The sequence below is a fragment of the Homo sapiens genome, chromosome 2 (assembly GCF_000001405.40).
Source record: "Homo sapiens chromosome 2, GRCh38.p14 Primary Assembly".
In the NCBI taxonomy this organism is placed as follows: domain Eukaryota; kingdom Metazoa; phylum Chordata; class Mammalia; order Primates; family Hominidae; genus Homo; species Homo sapiens.
This window is the reverse complement of record NC_000002.12, coordinates 11,293,906-11,318,544: the sequence shown is the minus strand read 5'-3', so window position 1 is coordinate 11,318,544 and position 24,639 is coordinate 11,293,906. Positions and strand designations below refer to the sequence as shown.

Sequence of the window (24,639 nt, the reverse complement as noted above, 5' to 3'; positions counted from 1 at the left end):
TGGGAGAAAATTTTTGCAATCTACTCATCTGACAAAGGGCTAATATCCAGAATCTACAAAGAACTCAAATTTACAAGAAAAAAACAACCCCATCAAAAAGTGGGCAAAGGACATGAACAGACACTTCTCAAAAGAAGACATTTATGCAGCCAACAGACACATGAAAAAATGCTCATCATCACTGGCCATCAGAGAAATGCAAATCAAAACCACAATGAGATACCATCTCACACCAGTTAGAATGGCTATCATTAAAAAGTCAGGAAACAGCAGGTGCTGGAGAGGATGTGGAGAAATAGGAATACTTTTACACTGTTGGTGGGACTGTAAACTAGTTCAACCATTGTGGAAGACAGTGTGGCAATTCCTCAGGGATCTAGAACTAGAGATACCATTTGACCCAGCCATCCCATTAGTGGGTATATACCCAAAGGATTATACATCATGCTGCTGTAAAGACACATGCACACGTATGTTTATTGCGGCACTATTCACAATAGCAAAGACTTGGAACCAACCCAAATGTCCAACAATGATAGACTGGATTAAGAAAATGTGGTATACTTTTATGGAATACAATGCAGCCATAAGAAAGGATGAGTTCATGTCCTTTGCAGGGACATGGATGAAGCTGGGAACCATCATTCTGAGCAAACTATCACAAGGACAAAAAACCAAACACCGCATATTCTCACTCGTAGGTGAGAATTGAACAATGAGAACACTTGGACACAGGAAGGGGAACATCACACACCGGGGCCTGTTGTGGGGTTGGGGGAGCGGGGAGGGATAGCATTAGGAGATATACCTAATGTAAATGACGAGTTAATGGGTGCAGCACACGAACATGGCACATGTATACATATGTAACAAGCCTGCACGTTGTGCACATGTACCCTAGAACTTAAAGTATAATTAAAAAAAAAAAAAAATATATATATATATATATATATATATATATATATATAAATGTGTAGATCAGGGCGGCTTTAAAAAATAGCTTTTTGAAGTTAATAGCTGTTTATGTATATGCCTGGTGTTTTACAGACATTTTATGTCCTTTATTTCCTTTTCATAACAATGCTGCAAAGTTATGTTATTATCTCTGTTTTATTGATGCTATGAGGTTTAGAGAAGTTATGTAACAGTTGCGTTGGTAGAGTTAATATTCAATTTCAAGTTCGTCTGATTCCAAATCACATACTTTTTTCACTAACCCATGCTTTTCTAACTCCTTTGCTTTAAATTTTTATCTCTGAGTATCTTCTGATTGGTAAATTAATCTATTTAGGAGATGCCCTGTAAAAGTGACTAAATTTATTATTTCAGGCCACTTATTTCTTTTGTTTCTTATCATGTTGACATAAGTTACATGTCTTTTAGTTACTTGCATCATTTCTGTGGCCTCATTCGCAGGAAAAGTTAAGCTTTCCTGAATCTGTAAAGTTGAACACCACCATAAACTCTGGACTCATGATAATTTAACCTTATGTTATATACCATAGATGAGAGTTTAGTCTGAAGAAGGTCTCAAACTATTAAGCTTCTTAACTGTGCTGGTATCCTCCATCAATTAAAGGTTTGGTTTATGTATGGTTAGCTTTAAACGACCACACTTAGGATCTGAGGAAAACCATTTGACCCTTCTAGTCTATTCTAAGTCTCTTAATTCACTGAGAAATTTTGATGCATTTTTAGTTTTCATTCACTTACTATTTTGTTTTAGCCCTCTCTTTTTGTTCTAGAATGACTTATTAGCAGTCAGAGGACAGACATACCATATCGTAGGAACCTAAGCATGTCAATAATTACTTAAAATACATGGTCGCATAAAATGTTTACGTCTTAAAGAAATTTACTTTTTGTAATCTGTTATGGCAAAATATTTTTAAAGCCTGCATGTTCCAGACCTGTTCTACCTGTTACCTCTTAACTGAGATGAAGACTGCATACCTGAAAGAGAAATTCACTGGTAGAAGAGACACATGCCAGAACTACTGAGAATTAAGTCTTTGTTTATGTAACCTTTTAGTTTGTTGAGTCTTTCCTTTTTTGGAGTACATGAAATTAAATACTATGGAATAATTTGCCATTCTCAGCTGTTAATATATTCTCTATGCTGTAGAACTTGTTAATGCTACCTTTATTGTTATATAAACCTGACATGGTTTTTGACTTTAGTAATTGACAAAGTATGGATGTAAATTTAACAAGGAAAAACATTTAAAATTAGTAATGTTACATATACAAGTGTTGTATACATTCTGAATTTTCTTGGTCTCTAAGGCCTATCCATCACCTCCTCTTCCACCCACCTCTGATACTGGATATACGTAGTATTTATTTATATCTATTTATTTATTTTGCCTCTTTTGCCTTTACAATAGTTACCCATTTTCCAACTTCTCAAGTTGGAGTGCTACCAGTTGAGGGTAGTTGTATTGAGTAGTTCTTTTAAAGAGAGCTTTCTTAGGGTATATCCAAATACTTCTCTTTCCAGTATAATAGCCATTAGCTACATATGGCTAAATTAATTAAACTAATCAAAACAACATAAATTCCGTTCCTCAGTTGTGCTAGCCTTGTTTCAAGTGCTTAGTAGCTACATGTGGCTAGTGGCTACCATCTCGGACAGCACAGCTTTATAGAACGTTTGCAGTGTTCTGTTGAGTATACTTAATAATCAGAATGTGGACTGAAGAAGGCCCCTGGTACAACTCTATTTTAGATATATGTAATTTAATAATGTACTTATGGCTTTAATTTCTGGCTGAGGTTGTTCAAAAAAGTGAAATCTTTAATCCCTGTGAAGCTTGCCTTGCTTACCAGTCTACATTCTGATGAGTTTTTTCACTATGTTTTGAAGTCTTTTACAGTGCTGCCTATTTAACAGACAAATAGGACTTTGCTTGTTGTTAAATGATTTGCCAGAAAAAAATTATGGATATGTTTTTAGAAGTTTATTATATTCCTGATTATAAGAGTAACAGATGTATTACAGAAAACTGGAAAATGTAAAGAGTAAACAATTAAAACTTATATTATGCCGACTCAGATAATTTACTGTTTTTTTTTACTAGTTTTATTCATAATTTAATTAAAAAAATTTTAAACTGTTGGGAATTCATCTCATAGTTTATTTCCATTTTGTTCCCCTAACATTGTAGCATAAGAGTTTCTATATGATACTGTAAAACAACAACAACAACAAAACACTCTGAAGCATACACTGCAGTATTGAATTCAGTGGTTATAATTGCTTAACCATTCCTTGTTGTTGGACATTGTGTTCTGTGTAATGGTGCTCTTTGTTTTGTAACATAGATTACAAGGGTACATCTCTAACTTCAGAATAATTGTTTTACTTTTTTTGGTAATTATTTGTTAAGTTTGTGTCTTATACTAGAGTATAAGCCACTTGAGTGCAAGGACCATGCCTTGATTACTTGTCTTAGGTCTTTTTTGCATTGAGAAAGGTTATAAAGTTATTTTAGTGATATTTTTATCCTCAGTTTATATCATTGTGTCTGATATATAGATACTTGTTTGACAAATTGAACTTAGATAATTGGATTTTTCATTTTCATAGGTTTTGCTTATGGATAAGAATATGCACATTTTAATAAAGTAATAATTCAGCTTTTTGGACACATTCCTTTAGGGATTATAGTCTCATTTGTAATATACATTTTTCCTTTTTTGCAGCTCTTTTCACAGGAGAAAGTTTTTGGATATGCTATTTAAAGAGATGAATAATTTTCAAGGACATCTATATTTAAGCATCATATTTGCCTGGCTTTATCACATACCACAATATGGTTTAGCTATTTGAAGAACATCTTTAGTGGCAAATGCAAAACAGTGAATCATGGGTGCTGAGATACTGGCCACATTTAGTTATGATACAGCTTTGTAGCTTGTATAAGTTGATTTCAACAGTGTTCTAAAAGGAACTATGAAAAGCAAATTTGAGGATATGTATAGTTGGGGTTTTTTTCCTAAACTTACTGGGTTTTGCATGTAAAATGTGGCAGATACGAAACCTTATTCATGTAAATATGGTATATGTTGGAAATTGTAATATGTTGGTACCAATAAATGTAAATGAAGTTCTAAACTATTCCTAAACACTATTTTAAATACCTTTAACAGTACTGTGTTTTAGTGAATAATAGTAACTAAACAGCATGTGCAATGCAGTCAGTTTCTTTAAAGAACATACAGACAAAGGACGTATGTCAGTCAAAATTGGTATAAAGAGAGCAGCAAATTAGAAAACATTCATAGTAATGTTTTTAGATGCTACATTAGACTATGAGGAGAACATTACTATTACTGTGAAATACAAATTGTTGACTGCAAATAGTTTTTCTGGTATCATTATAAATGCTTTATTCATTTATCATAGTTCTATAGTAATACATTTAAATCTACCTTATTTTTAATAGCTTTTAATATTCCATTGCTTGGATAAATTATTTATCCATTACCCCTACCAAAGGATTTTTGAGTCACTTTCTTTACATCTGAGTATCAAAGAGTGTTCTTATATATATTTATGCAGATTCTAGGAAAAATGCTGTAATTTTTTCCTGTACTTCTGACATTTCTTCAGTTAGTGTTAAATGTTTTTATAATAAGGACAAAGTAAAAATTTATATTTGTAAAAAATGCTTTTAAAAGTTGTTTAAATATTTGAGAGGAAAAATTAGGTTATTTTCTCTCTTTATAACATGCACCAAAATAAACTCCAGATAATCAAAGAGGATAAAGGTAAAGTGAGAAACCATAAACAAAATGAAACTGTACAAATTCCCGTCTGATCTAAACATAATAGATATGAAAACAATCATAATGTAGTTTTTATTTACTGAAAGTGAACAAAACTAAACGAGAAGTTAAAAGAGAGAGAAAAAAACTGAGGAAAACCATATGCCCCAAAAGGCAGACACAGCACTATTATTTTTAACATAAAGAGGTTATACAAATTCACCATAAAACCTCAAATATCAATAGAAACATGGTACCAGGATTTAGACAATTCACCAAAGAAATGCAAACGACAAAAATAATGCTCAGGATTTAAAAATATAAAAATTAAAACATCAATAAGAGATAATTTTATTCTTATAAAACCCAAAAATATTTTAAATATGGTAGCATCTGCTGTAGAAGAGTGTAAATTTGTCCCATTTATTCACTGCTGGTCAGAGTCTTTCTTGTTAGTTTTAATTTGTCTTTAGTTAATAGTTAATAGACTAGAACAGTTGTAGGTTTACAGAAAATTAAGCAGATGGTACAGAGGTCCCATGTAACAGCTACTCCATCCCCTTCCGTTTCTGTTATTAACATCGTACCTTAGTGTGGTACACTTGTTACATACAGTTAATGAACCAATGTTGATACATTATTATTAACTGAAGTACATAGTTTTCTTTAGGGTTCATTCTTTGCTGTACATTTGTTTGGGTTTTGACAGATGTGTAATATCAAGTATCCACAGTTACAGTATCATACAAAAGAGTTTTACTGTCCTAAAACTCCCCCGTGCTCCACTTCATCATCCTCCTTTCTTTTTCCTCTTGTTGCCTCCAACCACTGAGCTTTTTGCTATCTCTAGTTTTGCCTTTTCCAGAATGTCATATAAATGGAATTGTCCAGTGCGTAGGCTTTTCAGAATGGTTTCTTTCACGTAGAAATATGCATTTAAGTTTCGTTCATGTCTTTTTTGTGGCTGTATGATTCATTTCTTTTTATTGCTGAATAATATTCCATATACCACAGTTTATCATTTACCTATTGAAGCAATATTGGTTCCCTCCAGTTTTTGGCAATTATAAAGCTGCTAAAAACATTTGTATACAGGTTTTAGGGACAAAACCCCAACATAAGTTGAGGAACATCTATTCTCAGCAATAACAAATGCATTATTAATACATGGAAAAAAGATGAATCTCAGAATTATACTGAATGAAAGAACCAGTCCAATAAAGAGCACATACTATTTGATTTCATTTACATTAATTATATAAACTTCAAAGTAATTTATAGTGATAGGAAAACAAATCATTCGTTGCTTGGAGAAAGTGGGGGCTTTTGAAGAGGGGCAGGAGAGGGGGATTTTTAAGGAGTACAGGAAACTTTGTGGGTTGATGGCTATGTTCATTATAGTGACTGTGGTGATGATTTTATGGATGTATACATATTGACAAAACTTATCAAATTGTACACTTTAAATGTGTGCTTTTATTGTACGTCAGTTTTACCTTAATAAAGCTCCTTTTTAAAACGAAGCTTAGAGTTTAAAAGAATATAAAGTATATGCTAAAAACTGAGAAAATTTTAAAATATGAATTTGTTAATTTATTGAGAATAACTGTAATAAAGCCATTTAATTTCACCTATGTAGTACTTAATGAAAAATATGTTTTTCAATACAAAAAGTTTAGTGAGAAGAGTGGCATTGCTCTGTAATTTTGCAAATCTTTAGTGTCTGACTTTAGTATGAAACGACGGCTGGATTCTCATCTGCTTCTTCATGTCATCAGTTGTGATATGTTGTATTTGTTGAAGTAAATGAGGAAAAATCATCATTGTACATATTTGTAGTTGGAAAAGGGAGGGGGATAGTAATAGCCTTTCTAGATAATTCTGGATATTCTTCAAGTTCTCTGTTGAAATCCCCCGTCTTGATATCTCAAACATATTAATAGCAGTGATTTTGAAGTTTATGTTAAGTTTCTGGATCTCCTATAGGGGTGTGTGTGTGTGTGTGTGCACGCGCGTGTGCGCTTTCTCTCGATTTTATGATATTTTAGTTTTATCATCTGGTATGGCTGCTAATGTTTGACTGCTGGGCATTGCATGTGAAAAAATTGCATAGAATTAGGTAACATTGTCTTCAGGAGGATTTACGTTTTCTTCTGGCAGTTACTGTTGAGGCAGACTACCTTAATCTATTCAGTAATTGAACTGATTTGAGGCAGATTTTTAATCTTTTGAGGGTTGGTCTAGTTTTTATTTTTCCTTATTACTTCTAGGATATAGCCCTTTAGTAGACTCCATTAAAAACCCTGGACTTTTTCTTCTTCGTAAGTCCAGAACTCTAATTTTTGTGTTCCCTACTCTGCAAGAATGCTAGAAGCTCTCTTAGGCTTCTCAACTTCAGAGCTGCAACTTTGTAGTCAACTTTAGGTTCACTTCTTTCTCCACCCACCACCCTGCCACCTCAAGGATTTTGGTTTCAAATCTTTACTGCTTTGGGGGCTCTCCAGGACTTGAGTAGATTTTTAAAAATAAATTCGTTTGGCCTTTAAAGCTTTTCCTCATTAATAAGATTGGCTCTATCAAATTAGTCTATCATTGGTAGAGATAGAAATCTCCAGATTGTCTAAGAATTGTTTGTTTTTTTAAAAAGTGTTTCACTGTACTAGATAGTAGAATTTCAGGGGCTTGATATATTATAATTACTCTCATGCTGATTTCATAGCTAGTTGAGAGTTGGAGAAGTAAGTTAGAGATCAGAATGTCATCTATATTACTGGTGAAATCTAGGATGCAGGCTGTGGCTCAGAGACAGGACAAAACTGTTGTCCTAAATGAAACTTGAGTCATAGATACATTTTTCTCACAGAGGTGAAATCTTCCTTGCTTTATTACAAGAATAAGAGTAGATGAGAATAAATGTGTATCATTTATATGGATCAAAATTCTGGAAAATTAAGTAATTTAGTGTAACTTAAAATTGTAAATCACTGTTGTGGTCAGTGTGTGTTATATAACAGACATAGGTTGTATATACAACCTATGATTCTTTCTTCAATTGAGCTTTTATTTTTATGAATTTTATGAATTGAGCTTATATTTTTGTGAATTTTGCAGAGCGTGGATTTGTAGTAAGTAATGTTGAGCATGCCAGGATATAAAATATTATTTTGCATTCTCAGGAATTATCAAAAAATAGAATATTTTGTGATGATTTTGTTTGCCATTTGGTAACCGTTCTGCAATCTGGTTATTTGCTGTTCATATTCGGAATTTATCTACGAGTCAATGAGTTGTGTACGCCAGGAATTCTCTCAGTATTGCAGTATATGTCACAATAATGTGGCAATATCTTTCATCAATTCTAAGCCATGTGATTAGGCATGTTAATTGTAGGAATCACCCATTTAAAACTGCTTGACTTTGAACCCAACTCTGCTTTAACCTTTTTTTTAAAAATTGTAAATAAGACTTTACAGTGATGGCCAGAACTCATTTAGTATTCCGTGAGGTTGTAATCAGTGCTAACACCAGGTGACACAAATGCAGTCAAGCTACTTCCCTTAAAAAAACTCACCAAACTTTAGGATCAGATTACCATAACATGGGCTAAATTAAAAACAGAAATGAAATACACAGTATTTATTACAGGGATATTTACCAGGAAAAGAAAGTATCTTTAGGCCATGTTGGTTTGACTTTTATTTTACGTAATTTTATAATTAGTTCAGTCCATTCATAGAAATCTCTCAAAGAAAAATTTTGACATAGCTCTTTTTTTTCTTTCATTTCTTTTCTTTTTTTTGTTTTTTTTGGAGACAGGGCAGGCTGGAGTGATGTGGCATGATCTTGGCTCACTCCAACTTTTGCCTCCAGGGCTCAAACCGTCTTCCCACCTCAGCCTCCTGAGTAGCTGGGACTACAGGCATAACGCCACCATGCCCGGCTAATTTTTGTATATTTTGTAGAGACAGGGTTTCATCACATTTCCCAGACTGGTCTCAAACTCCTGAGCTCAAGTGGTCTTCCTGCCTTAGCTTCCCAAAGTGCTGGGATTACGGACATGAGCCACCAAGTCCAGCTGATGTAATACAGTAATTGATTGGTTTCATATTAGGAACATTAAACTACATTTTTATATTTCATATACTCATTTTTGTGATTTTTAAAACAATTTTTTGGTGGAGATGGGGACTGAAATAACTTTCTAGGTATAGAACCCTAATTTGCAATACTGTTTCTATTGGAAATTCAAATTTTATTTACAAATTTAAATTTCAGTCATTATCAAAGAACCAGTTAGGTTGTAAGATGGGTGGGAGTCGTGTATAAGCTCAATTAAATCAAACCATCTTTATTTTGTGTATACTGCATATGCACACACGCGTACATATACAGTCATTCCTCGAAGTCTGTGGGAGACTGGTTCTAGGACCTCTAGAGGATACCAAAATCCATCCTTGCTCAAGTCCCTTATATAAAATGGTGTAGTGTTTTCATATAACGTGTGCCCATCCTCCTGTATACTTTAAATCATTTCTAGATTACTTATAATGCCTAATACAATGTAAATACTATGCCGGTAGTTTTTTTTTTTTTAATAGAAAGTAAAACATGTTTCAAAAGCTACAATAAACCTGTATCCAAAGGAGTCCTATACATCAGTGATGTGCTGGACTTTGAATTTTGTGGTACAGCTTTGCATTGGACTCCCTCCGGCCTACTGGTCTGGGTACGGCTTGCTTCCTGCCTGTTGAAGGGTGAATACGCTACACAGAGCTATGATGGTTTCTACTGAGTGGTAAAATTCACAGAAGTTCCAGGTTCATCATGTCAGGATCATTCCTTGTGCAAAGTTTGATGTAGATGAAGATAAAGTGGTTTCTTGGTCAATAATTGCAATTGCTTTCTTTTAAAGTCAGTGGGTTTCTTGTATAGTTCTATTACATTTGGCCCAAGTTTAATTTCATCCATCTCCATGAAAGCAAAACACTTGGTGCTGGTAAACCTTTTTTTAGGCTTGTAGTGTTTGAATTCAAAGAAGATAGCTGCACCTTTGGTTAATTTTTCAACATGCTTCTGGAGCTCAATGTCCACATTAAAATGAACATATGTATCTTCTTTTCTTGAAGCCACAGGAGTATCTTGCACAGGAGTTAAGTCTATGCCATTCAGATCCTTTACACTAACTGTAATATAGGGATTGATGCACTGCCCAGCATCTTTCAAACCAGTTTTCTCAATTCTGATAGTGAGTAATGTCATTCCTGGTTCCAGTGGCAACCTTGGTAAGAAAGTACCGGGAACTCTAGCAGGAAAAGAATCAGGAGACCCTGCTCCAGCACCACCCTCTTCTTCATCTTCTTCAGATTCCAAATTCTCTTCTTCACCAGGTGCCAAAATTCTTCTTAATGGGACAGGCTAAACATCAAATGGGAATTCTTTATTATATGTAAGAATATTCTTTAGGATTGGTTCTAGCTTCTTCAGGTTCTCCAATTTAAATTCTTCTTGAGACTGTGTGGACTGTAAAGCTGTACTTCGCAATTCTAAGCATGTTGCAATTTTGCCTGTGGTTTTCTTTCTTCTGTGAATTCAGAATTATTGTGTTGAGCTTGGGCCTCTTTTTGTAGATGTCTTGCTAATATCTGATACTTGTCTATCGCCTCCACCAGCTGGCCCCAAGAGTCGCAGTCGGCGCCTCTCCTAAAACTGGCGCCCCAGCGCTGCAGCAGACTCCGGGTCACCTCTGACATGGCTGGTCCCCACCCCGTCCCCTCCTGCCCCTACCCCAGCAAGGCCGGGTTCTAGGGCGCCATCCTTCCCAGGCCTGGCCCTGACATTAACAGGGCCAGGAGGACCGCTACGGCCACCACCGCCACCCACCGAGGAGCCGCCCAAGCCCATTTTTCGCCGATAGTTGTTATATTGTATTGTTTAGGGACTAATGACAAGGAAAAAAGTCTGTGTATGTTCAGTACATATGCAACAATCTGTTGGTTTTTTTCCTGAATATTTTCAGTTCTGATTGTTGAATCAGTGGATTCAGAAACCGTGGATATGGAGGGCTGACTATATACAGTCTTTTTGGTATGTTTCATTTTCAGAAGTGTTGGTTTAGATTCAGATATATTTGTTATTTAGAAGTCTCTTTAAGATAATGTTTTCTGGCTGGGTGCGGTGGCTAACGCCTGTAATACCAGCACTTGGGGAGGCTGAGGCGGGCGGATCACGAGGTCAAGAGATCGAGACCATCCTGGACATCATGGTGAAACTCCATCTCTACCAAAAATACAAAAATTAGCTGGGTGTGGTGGCATGCGCCTGTAGTCCCAGCTACTCGGGAGGCTGAGGCAGGAGAATTGCTTGAACCTGGGAGGCGGAGGTTGCAGTGAGCTGAGATCGCACCACTGCACTCCAGCCTGGTGACAGAGTGAGACTCCGTCTCAGAAACAAATAAACAAAAAGATAATGTTTTCTGTCATTTTGGTGACAATTATGCAAGAAAGGAAGGTCAGCTTCATTACCTGGTACACAGGAGAAAAAAGTATTTATAAAATGGGATGCTACTGATTTGACTACTTCATGTGTAGAAACCATAAGATCATCTTTAGATTTTTGAATTATACTTTTTAAAGTACAAACCATTCAGTACGTTTTATAATACTGTAAATTAATTGAAACCATTGTTGTTAGTGTAATTATAGCCTCGGTAGTTTTTCAAGGAAACGTGGTAATGAAATATCGAGACCTCAGTTACATATGTCTTTTGGTTTATACCACTGACTTTATTAGAATATTAGTTTGGCGTCATTCTTTTTTCCCCCAAGAAAACCTGCTTTCTGTATCTTCCCATATTTTTCAAGCAGGTCTGCTATAGTTAATTCCTCTCTGTCAGCATTTGGATTGTTTATACTGTATTTCCCACATGGTGTTGGTAGGTATTTTCTTGCTGTATTAGCTGGCTGCAGTATTATGGCTTTGCTTGCTGATGGAAATAGGTTTGTTCACTAAGCTCCTTTGGGCAAGGACATTAGCTCATCCATTTATGCTGTAGACATATTTGTTGAAATGATATCCCGGAGCTATCAAGTTAACAGCGGAGTTCTTTTACCTGTTTCTGTATTCCTTTGCTTTGATTGAGAAAGTGAACTTATTTTGCAATTGATTCTTAAATCCCTTGTGTTTAAAGGATTTTATGTACACTCAGTCATTTAATGAATATTTAGTAACTACGGCATGCCAACCACTGGTTTAGGCAGTGAACAAAGCAGATAAAATATTCCTGCCTATCAGTTTGCATTTTAATAAGGAGCTAGATAATAATTTAATTGTTTGTAGGATAGTGATAAGTGGTAAGGAGAAAGAAGGTAAAACAAAGATAATGCGAAATATAGAACTTTTAAAGTTTACATATTATAATAAGTTCTCCCAGAAAAGGTTACTTTTAAGTGAAGACTTGGTGGAGAGCTACCACCAACTGGTGCAGTTATATGGGTGTGAGCTTTTCTGACAGAAGGAAATAGTGAGTCCAAAGTCCCTGAGTCAGGAACATGCCTTTTGTGGTTTTTAAAAAACTTCTTATTTTGAAACAATTTTATAAACTTACTGCATACACAAAACATTTGATTTGTCAACTGTCCAAATAATGTTCTTCATAGCAAAAGAATCTGACCCAGGATCATATATTCATCCAACTCTCATGGCTCTCGAATCTCTTTCAATCTGGAACAGTTCCCCAGTCTTGACTCTCATGCTCTTGACAGTTTTGATGATTACAAGCCATTTATTTTGTAGAAATTGTTCCAGATTTGCCACTGGGAGCCCTTTCATACTGGCTTATGTGTCCTCTTGACAAGTCACCATCAGTCCTTGTACACTTCTTTACTTATTTTTAAACTTTTTTCTTGAAATAATTATAAATTCACAGTAACTTTGCAAAAATAGTACAGAATGGTCCTGTGTACCCCATTTCCCATAGTGTTTATATCTTACATAACTATAGTTTATTCTCAAAACGAGGACATTGACATTGATACATTGTGTATGTATAGCTCTATGCCATTTTATCACCTGTGCACTTCCTTCCTTTTTGGCACAAGATGCTACAAGCTCATCTTATCATTTTCCTACTCCAGCCTTAGAATCAGCTATTTCTGCAAGGAGCCCTAGTTCCTTTTAGTGAAGAGTAGTATTTTAAAACCAAGATCTGAGTGCTAGATGAGCTCATTGCTATGGGAGTATCTATTGTACACCAGGCCCTTTCAGTGGTCACATCCAGGAAGCATGTGCATGCACGTAAGTGTGTGTGTGTGTGTGTGTGTGTGTGTGTGTGTACACCCACACAGACATTTATCTACATCTATATTTCTATATCCATCTTTATTTTTTTTAACTTTATTTTTGAGACGGAGTCTCGCTCTGTTGTCCGGGCTGGAGTGTAGTGGCATGATCTCTGCTCACTGCAACTTCTGCCTCCCGGGTTCAAGCAATTCTCTTGTCTCAGCCTCCCGAGTAGTTGGGACTACAGGCGTGCGCCACCATGCCCAGCTAATTTTTGTATTTTTAGTAAAGACAGGGTTTCGCCATGCTGGCCAGGCTGGTCTCGAACTCCTGACCTCAGTTGTTCCACCCTCCTCAGCCTCCCAAAGTGTTGGGATTACAGGCATGAGCCACCACACCTGGCCCCCTGTATCTTTTATATAATGAAATCTGTTAATTCATATTGATACAATCTAGTTCCAGCTCAACACCATGAGTTCATTGTAGTGTGCCCAACCCTCCTCCCCCATATTTGTATTTATTCTATCATTAGTATGAGCCTAGTTCGGTTATTACATAGTAACTAATTGGCTGAATTCCTCATATTTAGTCAGTCTCCCAACCCTGTAAAACTGTGGTGCTGCTCAGTTTTCCCTACTTGTTAGTGCCCTGTCTGCCACTGAGCTACCTTCCTACACCATTCCTACTTCTTGTGTAGGGTACCGGTTGTGATTTCGAAACGTTTAGAAGGCCAGTGTGGCAGAAGCACAGTGAGTGAGACAGAAAGTAATGGGAGGTGAGGTTTGAGAGTTAATAACTAGGTGGATGCGAGCAGATGATAGACTCAAAGGCTGGGAATTGTGCTTTACTCTCAATGAAATGGGAAGCCGTTGGAGGTTTTGAACAGAGGAGTGACAGCATCATTCTCTGAGTTCCATTGAAAATATTCTAAGAAGAGAGAGAAGGCAAAGTTGGAAGCAAGAAGACCTAATGGTAGACATTTGCAATGATTCCAGCAAAATGTTGGTGATTTGTAAAGGTGGTGAAATCTGGTGGAGTTCTGGATTCATTTTGAAGGCAGTCTTGACCAGATTTGTAAGTGTTAGGATTTGGGCTCTTGAGAGAAAAAGCAGTCAGATTTGAATATTAACATTATTGGCCTCAGTATTTGCAAGGATGGAATTGGCATGAATGGAGATGTGAAAGACTGAAGGAGGGAAGTGGTTGTAGTAGGAAAAGGAAGGGGTAGGGCATAGTTTTGGACATTATTGTTTGAAATACTTACTAGACATTCAGAAAAAGCTGATGAATAGCAAATAGATATATGGGTCTTGAATTCAGGATTTTAGTTGGAATAGAGATAATGAATTTAGGAGCCATCAGCACATATTTAAAGACGCAAGACAAGATGGAGTTCGAGGGAGTGAGTGAATTTGAGAGAGGAGGCCCAAAGACAGGAGAAAACCAATAAAGTATACTAAGAAAGGGCAACCAGAGAAATATGTGATAAACGATTTAAATGGGTTTTCATCAAAGCAAAGTAGAAAAAGTTTTCAAGTTTTTGAAAATAATAGGGCAAGGCAGTCCTGACCAAACTTTGACCTGTTATTTTGAAAAAAATAGTGAAGGACTGTCTAAAGATGTTTATAGGTCAAGTAAGATGTGAACTGAGACATGATCATTGGATTAGCAACATGTAGGTCACTGATAAGCTTGAAAAGAAAAGTTTAGGAGTGTGATGATGGCTGTTAGTCGGGGGAGATCTGATTGTAGTGAATTGTAAAGGGAATGGGAGGAGAAAAACTTAAGACAGCTAGAATAGGTATTTCTTCCAAGAAATTTTTCTGTAAAGAAAAAGATTGAAATGGCAGCTGTATGGGAGGTAGGGTCAAGGGATTTTTTCTTAAGGGTAAGAGAAATAACAACATGTTTCCATGCCAATGGCAGTAATCAAGTAGAGAAGGCGGCGAGAAGAAATGAAGAGATCATGGGAGAATTGCTGTTGTGGTGTTAATGAGCAAGAGGGAATGGGAGATTTAGTGTGTAGGTGGAGGGATTAGCTGTAGCTAGGACTGTACATCCATAATAGCAGGAAAGAAAGTAAAATGTGTGGGCACAGATGCAGGAACGTGGATAGATTTGGTGATGAAGGCTTGTACAAGTTCTCAGTGAGGTAAGAAGCAAGATTTGAAGAATTCTGCACTTGAGGAATTTACAGCTAATAGATGTGAGATAAGCTGTGTACAAAAATAACTTTTATAAGGACAAAGTGACATCTTCTTTGAAGAACATGTAATGTGTAGGAGTTAGGAAGGAGAGATTTTTATCCTGGAGGATCCTGAAGATTTCACAGAAATAAGTTTTATCTGAACTAATCTTTGAAGAATAGATAAAAATTTGAACAAGTAGACATGACTGAAGAACTTTAACTTTTTAATTTTTTTATTTTAATGCTTAGCACTCAGCCTTGGTACATGGCTACCCCTCAGCAAATGAATGAGTGTTGAATGTTCTGTGGTGAAAGACTGTGAGGAAAGTGATGGAAGTAGAAAGACCAAGGTGAAAGGTGAAAGTTTGGGTGGTCCAAACTTTCCAGTGGATACTGTTCAATAGATATATAATGTGAGCCACATATATAATTTAAAATTTCCCAGGAGCCTCATTTTAAAAGGTGGAGGGAAACAGATGAAATTAATTTCAATAAATATTTCATTTAACCCAGTATAACAAAGTATTATTTTAACATGTAATCAATATTTTAAAATTATTAACGAGTTATTAAAACAGTTATTTCATATTCTTATTAGTACTAAGTCTTTGAAATCCAATGTGTATTTTACATTTACCAGAGCATCTCAGTTCAAGCTAACCACATTTCAGGTGCTTGGTAGCCAGATGTAACTAGTGCCTTCTCTATGGGACAATACAAATCTAGAGCAAATGTGAAAGAAGGGTCGTAAATAGTGGGAAGTCAGATTGGAGAAGGTCGATGGGGCAAAGTATTCCAAATGCTAGTTTAGACTTGATTTTCTAGGCATTTGGAAGGTATGGAATAATGTTAGGGGTGCCTGTAATCCCAGCTACTTGGGAGGCTGAGGGAAGAGAATCACTTGCGGAGGTTGCAATGAGCCAGACCATACCACTGCACTCCAGCCTGGGCGACAGAGTGAGACTCCGTCTCAAAAGAAAAAAAAAACAACAACAAAAAAACACCCCACCCCAACAAATTTGAATATTAAGAAGAGCATGAAATGTATAGCTTTATGTTTCAGAAAGATTACTCAGCAGTAGAATGGAGATGTACTGGAGCAGAGGGAGATTAGAGGCAGGGAAACAAGTTAGTAGGTAAGAAATAATGTGAATCTGAAACCATAATGGAGAAATTTTGTTATTTCTTTTAAACCATAGTTGCTGGCCGGGCGTGGTGGCTCACGCCTGTAATCCCAGCACTTTGGGAGGCCAAGGCAGGTGGATCACCTGTGGTCTGGAATTCGAGACCAGCCTAGTCAACATGGTGAAAACCCATCTCTACTAAAAGTACAAAAATAAGCAGGGCGTGGTGGTGGGTGCCTGTAATCCCAGCTAGTTGGGAGGCTGAGCGAAACTCCGTCTCAGAATGACTTATACAGAGGGAATGACTTGAAGTAAGGGGCAAGGGAAAGGAATTCTAAACCTGACTTACATAGAATGGCGTTGCTTATTAGATGTAGAGTAGGTAAGATTTTTTTTTTTTTTTTTTTGAGGCGGCGTTTCACTCTTGTTGCCCAGGCTGGAGTGCAATGGCGCGATCTTGGCCCACTGCAACCTCTACCTCCCAGGTTCAAGCGATTCTCCTCCCTCAGCCTCCCAAGTAGCTGAAATTACAGGCACCTGCCACCACGCTTGGCTAATTTTTTGTATTTTTAGTAGAGATGGGGTTTCACCATGTAGGCCAGGCTAGTCTCAAACCCCTGACATCAGGTGATCTGCCTGCCTCAGCCTCCCAAAGTGCTGGGATTACAGCCATGAGCCACCGCGCCCAGCAGAGTAGGTAAGATTTGAATGAGAAGATGCCTAATTTAATTTTGGTTATGTTGATACTAAGATGCTGGCTATTTACACAACAGTTTTTTGAGTATATACACTATGACTGGAATATAGAAAATAAGTTTTTACCTTTAAGGAAGATAAAAAATTCCTTACCTTTAAGGAATTTATGACCTCTGAAGTTTTAATCTTGTATCCCATCATTGAAAAATTTTTGAGAATATCTCCAAATATATTTTATTTATAATTTGTATACATGGACTATAGTATTAAAACATGTAAATTACAAAATATACATAAAAGAGGAGTTTTTAAAGTATAATTTTATAAACATAAGATTGTTATAAATATTACTTTATTAATGGTACAAACTTTTTCTTTCCCCACTAAATGACATATGCTTTATTGCTTTTTACAATTTTTGTTTAATGTTGTTGCAGTGATTTGAAGATTAGGTTCTAAGTTCAGTTTATTTTGCTACCAGGTTTTGAGAACTATCATAAGTTTTTTTTCCTCCTGAAATTTCACAAGGAGGTATAGATACAAATGGAAGAAGCATAATACGTTAGTGGCTGTAGTTACTAAATCACAATACTCACTTTCTAATTCTGCTCACCAATGATACAACTTTTTTTTTTGCACCTTAGTAGATCATTTTACACTCTCATTGAGTAGGTCCACTCAACTTAGGAGACTTCTTGGGTCTTTTGGGTATCTGGTGGATACTTGGAAATAAGGGTACTGGATCACAGTGTACTATTTTGTAGAAACAGGGTTATTAAGCCTACAAGATGGTTCAAAGAATAAAGTCTAGATTTTTGTTGACTTTATTGCCTTTCCATTTTGAGTGTAAGAAAAATTATGGCTATTTGTGGCAATTTAGGTTGTGTCTTTGAGTAATTTTGTATTTCTTTTAAACCATAGTTGTTGGCCGGGTGTGGTGGCTCATGCCTGTAATCCCAGCACTTTGGGAGGCCAAGGCAGGTGGATCACCTGAGGTCTGGAGTTCGAGACCAGCCTAGTCAACATGGTGAAAACCCATCTCTACTAAAAGTACAAAAATAAGCCAGGCGTGGTGGCGGGTGCCTGTAATCCCAGCTAGTTGGGAGGCTGAGGCAGGAGAATCTCTTGAACCTGGGAGGGCGGAGATTGCATTGAGCTGAGATCACGTCATTGCACTCTAGCCTGGGCAACAAGAGCGAAACTCCGTCTCAGAAAAACCCAAAAAAACCATAGTTGCTAATGTGTATCTAAATTGGTTGATAAATTATTATTCCTACTTAAGGTGCTGTTATTGCCAGAAATGAAGGAGCAATATGCAGATTTATGGATGAAATGGTCTAGTTGGTAATTAGCCTTTAGAAACTGTAGATTTACCTATTAGTTATCAAATTGTTTCATCAATGGGACCTTTTCTCTGACAAATAAGGATTTATAGGCTACCAAAATATGAAATAGACCCCAAAAACTGTGAATTAGATTCGCTTTCCGAGACTTGCTCATCATTCTTTATAGGGGAGGGCACATAGAGTGGACAAAAGAGAGACAGGATAGATATTTAAAAGGTTGTTAAAATGTTTTCTGATTTTTAAAAAGTGTTTACTTAAAAAAGTTTCCTGAGAGGTATGAAAGAACTGTTGCCTCCTGGGTAAGGATGAGTTGTGCCTTGCTTCTCTGGTTTCTGTTGAGAAGAACATTTTTACTTTTCCATGAAAATTAGGTTGGCTACTCGTTCTGCATAGTTACAAATGTAGTTAGAAGAAGAAAAGAGAAGCGTGCGTCCTTTAAAACAACCATCAACAACTATTTTCTTCTTGCTGTGTTCTTTCGTGGTTCTTAGTGGTAGTTATATGAATAGCAGAAAGACCTGCTCCTGGTTGCAGCTTCTGCCTCTGCTGTATCCCTAAGTGGCTCTGCCTCAAAACACTTCTCCATTTTTTTTTTTCTAGTGGAACTTTTACGAGAATTGAATGAGCGAGTGACTTTCTTTTGCACATAGTATGAACTCAGTAAATGTTAATTTCCTAATGTGATCTGTGGGCACACATTTTTGCCCTTTGATTTTTCATGTGAACTTGGTTTTTTATAAAAGTACTTGGTTGTGCCTTAAAAAGTTCATTGTTTAGATTTGATTAATATTTGACTGGAAAATTGAAGATGATGTCTGTGGGTATAATGATTTGATCTTGGGGTATTTCCAGTGATTTTTTTTTTTTTTTGAGATGGAGTCTTGCTCTGTCGCCCAGGCTGGAGTGCAGTGGTGCAATCTCGGCTCACTGCAACCTCCGCCTCCCAGGTTCAAGCGATTCTCCTGCCTCAGCCTCCTGAGTAGCTGGGATTACAGGTGCGTGCCACCACACCCGGCTAATTTTTGTATTTTTTTTTTTTAGTAGAGACAGAGTTTAGCCATGTTGGTCAGGCTGGCCTCAAACTCCTGACTTCATGATCTGCCCGCCTGGGTCTCCCAAAGTGCTGTGATTACAGGTGTGAGCCACCGTGCCCGGCCTCCAGCGATTTTTTAATGTGGAATATAAAATGAGATTTTTAAATCTCTGTAGTTTTAAAACATATTTATAATAACTATAGTGATATATCAAATTCTGACAATAGGGAAAGATAGTTTTGTGTTTGAAATTCCTTTAATTCCATCTCAGATTCTCCAGCAGGGCAGCTCTCCTCTTCTCACTCAAAATTGCTGACTTGTTTTTAAGGGTTATGAGAAACATCTTTTGGAAGATGGGATCCAAAGTATAAAGTCGTGTGACTTCTCATAACCTGCTCCCTCCCAGCACTTTGAACACAAATAAGCTTTGAAAGTGTTTGGAGGATAAGTCTCTGTAATAAAAAGTTTTCATTGAAATGTAGCAGACTTGAGGATGAGTTTCCTACTCATATGTCCTCCCTGATTGAGAAGATACAATATATTAGAAAAGGTATGTGAAAATGTCTAAGCACAATGATGGCAAACAGGTTTTAAAGTTCATTTGCCCCTGTGTGTGGTTTTTTTTTTTTTTTTTTTTTTTGAGATGGAGTCTCACTCTGTTGTTCAGGCTGGAGTGGAGTGGCACGATCTTGGCTCACTGCAGCCTCTGCCTCCCAGGCTCAAGTGATGCTCCTGCCTCAGCCTCCCAAGTAGCTGGGACTATAGGCTAGCACCACCATGCCCGGCTAATTTTTGTATTTTTAGTGGAGACAGGGTTTCACAATGTTGGTCAGGCTGGTCTCGAACTCCTGACCTCAGGTAATTTGCCTGCCACGGCCTCCCAAAGTGTTGGGATTACAGGCCACTGTGCCTGGCCTCCTGTGCTATTTTTATGTTGTCAGTAAGTTCATTATTATCCAATGCACCCAAAACATTCTTTGTAAATATATGTCTATATATACCCTCACAGAAAAGTATGTACATTGTATGTATACAGCTTGATAAATTTTTACAATCTGAGAACCCATATAATCAGCAGCTAGGTCAAGAAACAGAATTTTCCAGAATGTCCCCTTATCCTGACCTTCTAATCACCACCCCACCTATGTTTTTCATGAAATTTTTATTTTTATGTACAAGTTTTTAACAGTTTTAGGGAAATTACATTTGCTTTTAATTACCTAATGTATGTTTAAACATCATTAATTAGAAAGAAATGGGATATTTTGAACATTTCTATCAGAAACTTGAAAAAATTTTGTTCATAAAGGTACTCAGAGAGCTCTGTGTCCTCCACATGGCTGACCTAATATAATGTGGTAATAGCCACAAAAAGGTAAAATACTTAGCATATAGACTTAACAACATGTATTTAGAATAGATGTGTTTATCACTTTGCTGAAAGAAATAGATGGAGAGACCTACCTTGTTCTTGGATGGGAAAAAAAAGTTAGTTTTTCTCAAATTAACCTATTAATCCCTGTTAAGATCCCAGTTCAGAGAAGAGAGAGAAAAAAAAACAACATATGACTTATAGGAGGCGGCGAATAGTGAAATGCATTGGGATTTAAAATAGCATCTGTTTTAGTAGAGATATGGAGCTATAGATAATAAATGAGTAATTTTTTAAAAGGTCTAAATGTATTAAGACTGTCTTCTGTAATACCTTAGATCTTGTTTACTTAGATTTGCTATATTTTATTATGAGTTATTAATACAAATTTCACCACAAAAAACTTAGGAAAAGAATAAAATGATATAATTTCATCATGGTATGATAGTTATTGTATTTTTTGCTTTCCATTCAAAAATTTCATATACATAATTCCCTTAAGTAGAATTATTATACATTTAATTTTTATTCTGCACTTTTTAAACATTAATTTTTTAAAAATACTAATTCCTACCTAGTCTTTGTAACAACTATTTTTAATGATTGGTTAATATAACTTTGACAAGCTTTAGTAAAATTTACTTAGTTTTTCTGTTCCAGATTTTTAGGTTGCTTTGAGTTTCTTGCTATTATAAATAATGTTGCTCCAAGCACTTTTGTGTTATATCTAATCTTTCCCAGATTTTAACTGTCTTAAATAAAATGTTAAGCTGTATAAACTTAAAATAAGACTGAAAATTACTTGGCAGTGAAAGAGCTTTTAAAATTGATTAAAACATAAGTACATTCATAACAAAAGGAGTTACAGTGACTAGTACCTAACCTTTGTTTCATTTGGCATCACAGTCTTTCATTAGTTGTCACACTAGCCCTGAGACTTAAATGTTGTATTGCATAGATGTCAAAAATGAGATTTAAAGGAGTAAAATAATTTTCTTTATGGAACACATTATGTTAGTGATGGAACTGTTTTTGGTTCTGTTAGTATAAAAAATGTGCTAATAGGTTTAGACGTTAAAGTGTAAAAACCTTCCAACTCTCCATATCCTAAATTACGTAATCTTTAAATGCATAGTGTGTATTTAGGTGATATTGAAAATAGTGGTAATAATAGCTAACATTTATTGAGTGATATTGTTTGGAGATGAAGCAGAAATTTAACTTCACAATTGTAGAAAAATAATTTTCTATATTTAGGTTCTTAGGGGTGGAAACCATATAGACAAACTTCTTGTTATAAATGAAAAAGAAGGTTCTGTTTATTTAATTGACAATTGACTAGAAACAGGCTGGGAAGACTGTTTCTTGTCATTAAGTGTGAATATGACCAAACTGTTTTACCTTCTAATAAACAAAACTTTATCTGTTTGTTGTATCTTTTCAAAATTTAAGAAATACTGGAATAGCTCTATATTCAGAGTAGCTTAGCTATCTATCTACTTAACTGTATATCCACAAATATTTTACAGACAAATGTTGCTTTGTAATTTAGTTGGCCATTGTCATCTCCAGCATTCTTAGTTACTAGATAGACTTTATAGGAAAAGTTGTTCCTCCACCATCTTGCCCCTTCAGCTCCAAAATGTCCATGAAGTGTAGGTTATTCTGCTTTGAGACCCTTTGTTTTCTCTCTCTCTCTCTCTCTCTCTCTCTCTCTCTCTCTCTCTCTCTCCTCTCTCTCTCTCTCCTCTCTCTCTCTCTCTCTCTCTCTTTTGTTTTTTGAGATGGAATCTCGCTCTGTCACCCAGGCTGGAGTGCAGTGGCGCGATCTCGGCTCACTGCAAGCTCCGCCTCTTGGGTTTAAGTGATTGTCCTGCCTCGGCCTTCCAAGTAGCTGGGATTACAGGCGTGTACCACCACGCCTGGCTAATCTTTGTATTTTTAGTAGAGACGGGGTTTCACCATGTTGGCCAGGCAGGTGTCAAACTCCTGACCTCAGGTGATCCACCCTCCTTGGCCTCCCAAATAGTTGGGATTACAGGCGTGAGCCATCATGCCAGGCCTTCTCTTAAGGTAGTCTGGTCTTCCCTGGAGTATCTGTAATGGAGCACTATATAAACAGATCCTGCCATCAGTGTATTTAAAGTACTGCTGCTGAACGATATTATGAATATCAAAATATTGAAGCCATATAATTATTCTGTGTACTGTGAGCACCAAATAGGAAAATTAATAAAACATAAAACCAGCAGGCCTTTTGGGGGTATTTTTCTTGCATGTATGTGTTATATCCTGGATGAGATTTTTTTTTTTTGCCCTAAAGTCTATCTGTGATACTTAACTGTACAAGTTTCAAATATGGAAAATACTTTTTAAAAAGTCTAACTTGCCTACAATCAGAATAACAACTCTAATTTTATCTGGCCAGTAGTTTCTCAGTTGAATACCAATATTAAATTAAGAATAGGATTCAGTCAGATGATGCATTACTTTTTCTAATATTTTATAATAGGTGTGTAAATTGCCTGTTTTCTGTTTTATAGGGAGTTTCAGGTAACATTGTATGTAATTTTTGAGGAGAGAAGCTTTTTTTAATAGAGGAAAAGATAAAATTGTTGATTTATAAGCCATAAGAAATCTAGTAATGCAGGCTGGGCACAGTGGCTCACACCTGTAATCCTAGCACTTTGGGAGGCCAAGGCGGGTGGATCACCTGAGTTCAGGAGTTCGAGACCAACCTGGGCAACATGATGAAACCCCGTCTCTACTAAAAATACAAAAAAGTAGCCGGGCATAGTGGTATGCGCCTGTAGTCCCAGCTCCTCTGGAGGCTGAGACACAAGAATCACTTGAGGTGGAGGAGGAGGTGGAGGTGGAGGTTGCGGTGAGCTGACATCATGGCACTGCACTCCAGCCTGGGCAACAGAGCAAGGCTCTGTCTCAAAAAAGAAAAATAGTAATACAAATATAATTTGATCTTAATTTTATTCATGTGTTTCTAAACAATATGTTACATTATGTATTACACAAATAAAATAATAAAACAATGTATTACATTATGAATGCAATTTGATTCATATCTTCCCATCAACTTAATATTTTAGAAGAAAAAAATCAGAATTTAATTTAAAAAATACCAATAATTATTCAAAGCAGCATTGGGCCCAATACCAACCTTAATGCTTCTAAGCTGTGCAGTTCTGGGAAATGGTTTAAGTTCTCCAAGCCAAATTTCAACTAAAAAATATGGTGATATTAAGACTGTATAATTAACACCATATAATTCCACCATATAATTAACACCATATAATTAACACCATATAATTCCACAGTCTGTTAGGAAAATTAAATAAGGAGATGTTATATAAAGTGTTTGGCATCATGTCTATCCAAGAACTCTGCAATAGCAGCTGCTTTATTATCAGCACAGAGCACTATCACCATTAGAACAATTACCAACTTTACATTTAATTCTTCTAAAACCTTGATCAAATCAATAATGTGATTTTTTGCTCTTTCCTTTCTTTCCTTTCTTTTCTTTCTCTCTCTCTTTGTCTTACTTTTTTTTAAATTTTTTTTTGAGACGGGAGTCTCACTCTGTCACCCAGGCTGGAGTGCAGTGGCACGATCTCGGCTCACTGCAAGCTCCACCTCCCGGGTTCACGCCATTCTCCTGCCTCAGCCTTCCAAGTAGCTGGGACTACAGGCGCCCGCCACCATGCCTGGCTAATTTTTTGTATTTTTAGTAGAGACAAGTTTCACTGTGTTAGCCAGGATGGTCTCGATCTCCTGACCTCACGATCCTCCCGCCTCGGCCTCCCAGAGTGCTGGG

The 24,639-nt window shown here is 36.4% G+C and overlaps 1 protein-coding gene and 1 pseudogene across 5 annotated transcripts in view; one reads left to right on the top strand and one right to left on the bottom strand.

Annotated features, from left to right (window-relative positions):
- ROCK2 (Rho associated coiled-coil containing protein kinase 2) overlaps nucleotides 1-24,639 on the top strand; it is a 165,679-nt gene that overhangs the window by 26,893 nt on the left and 114,147 nt on the right. The window lies entirely within an intron of this gene.
- On the bottom strand, nucleotides 9,407-10,679 carry AIDAP1 (AIDA pseudogene 1; annotated as a pseudogene).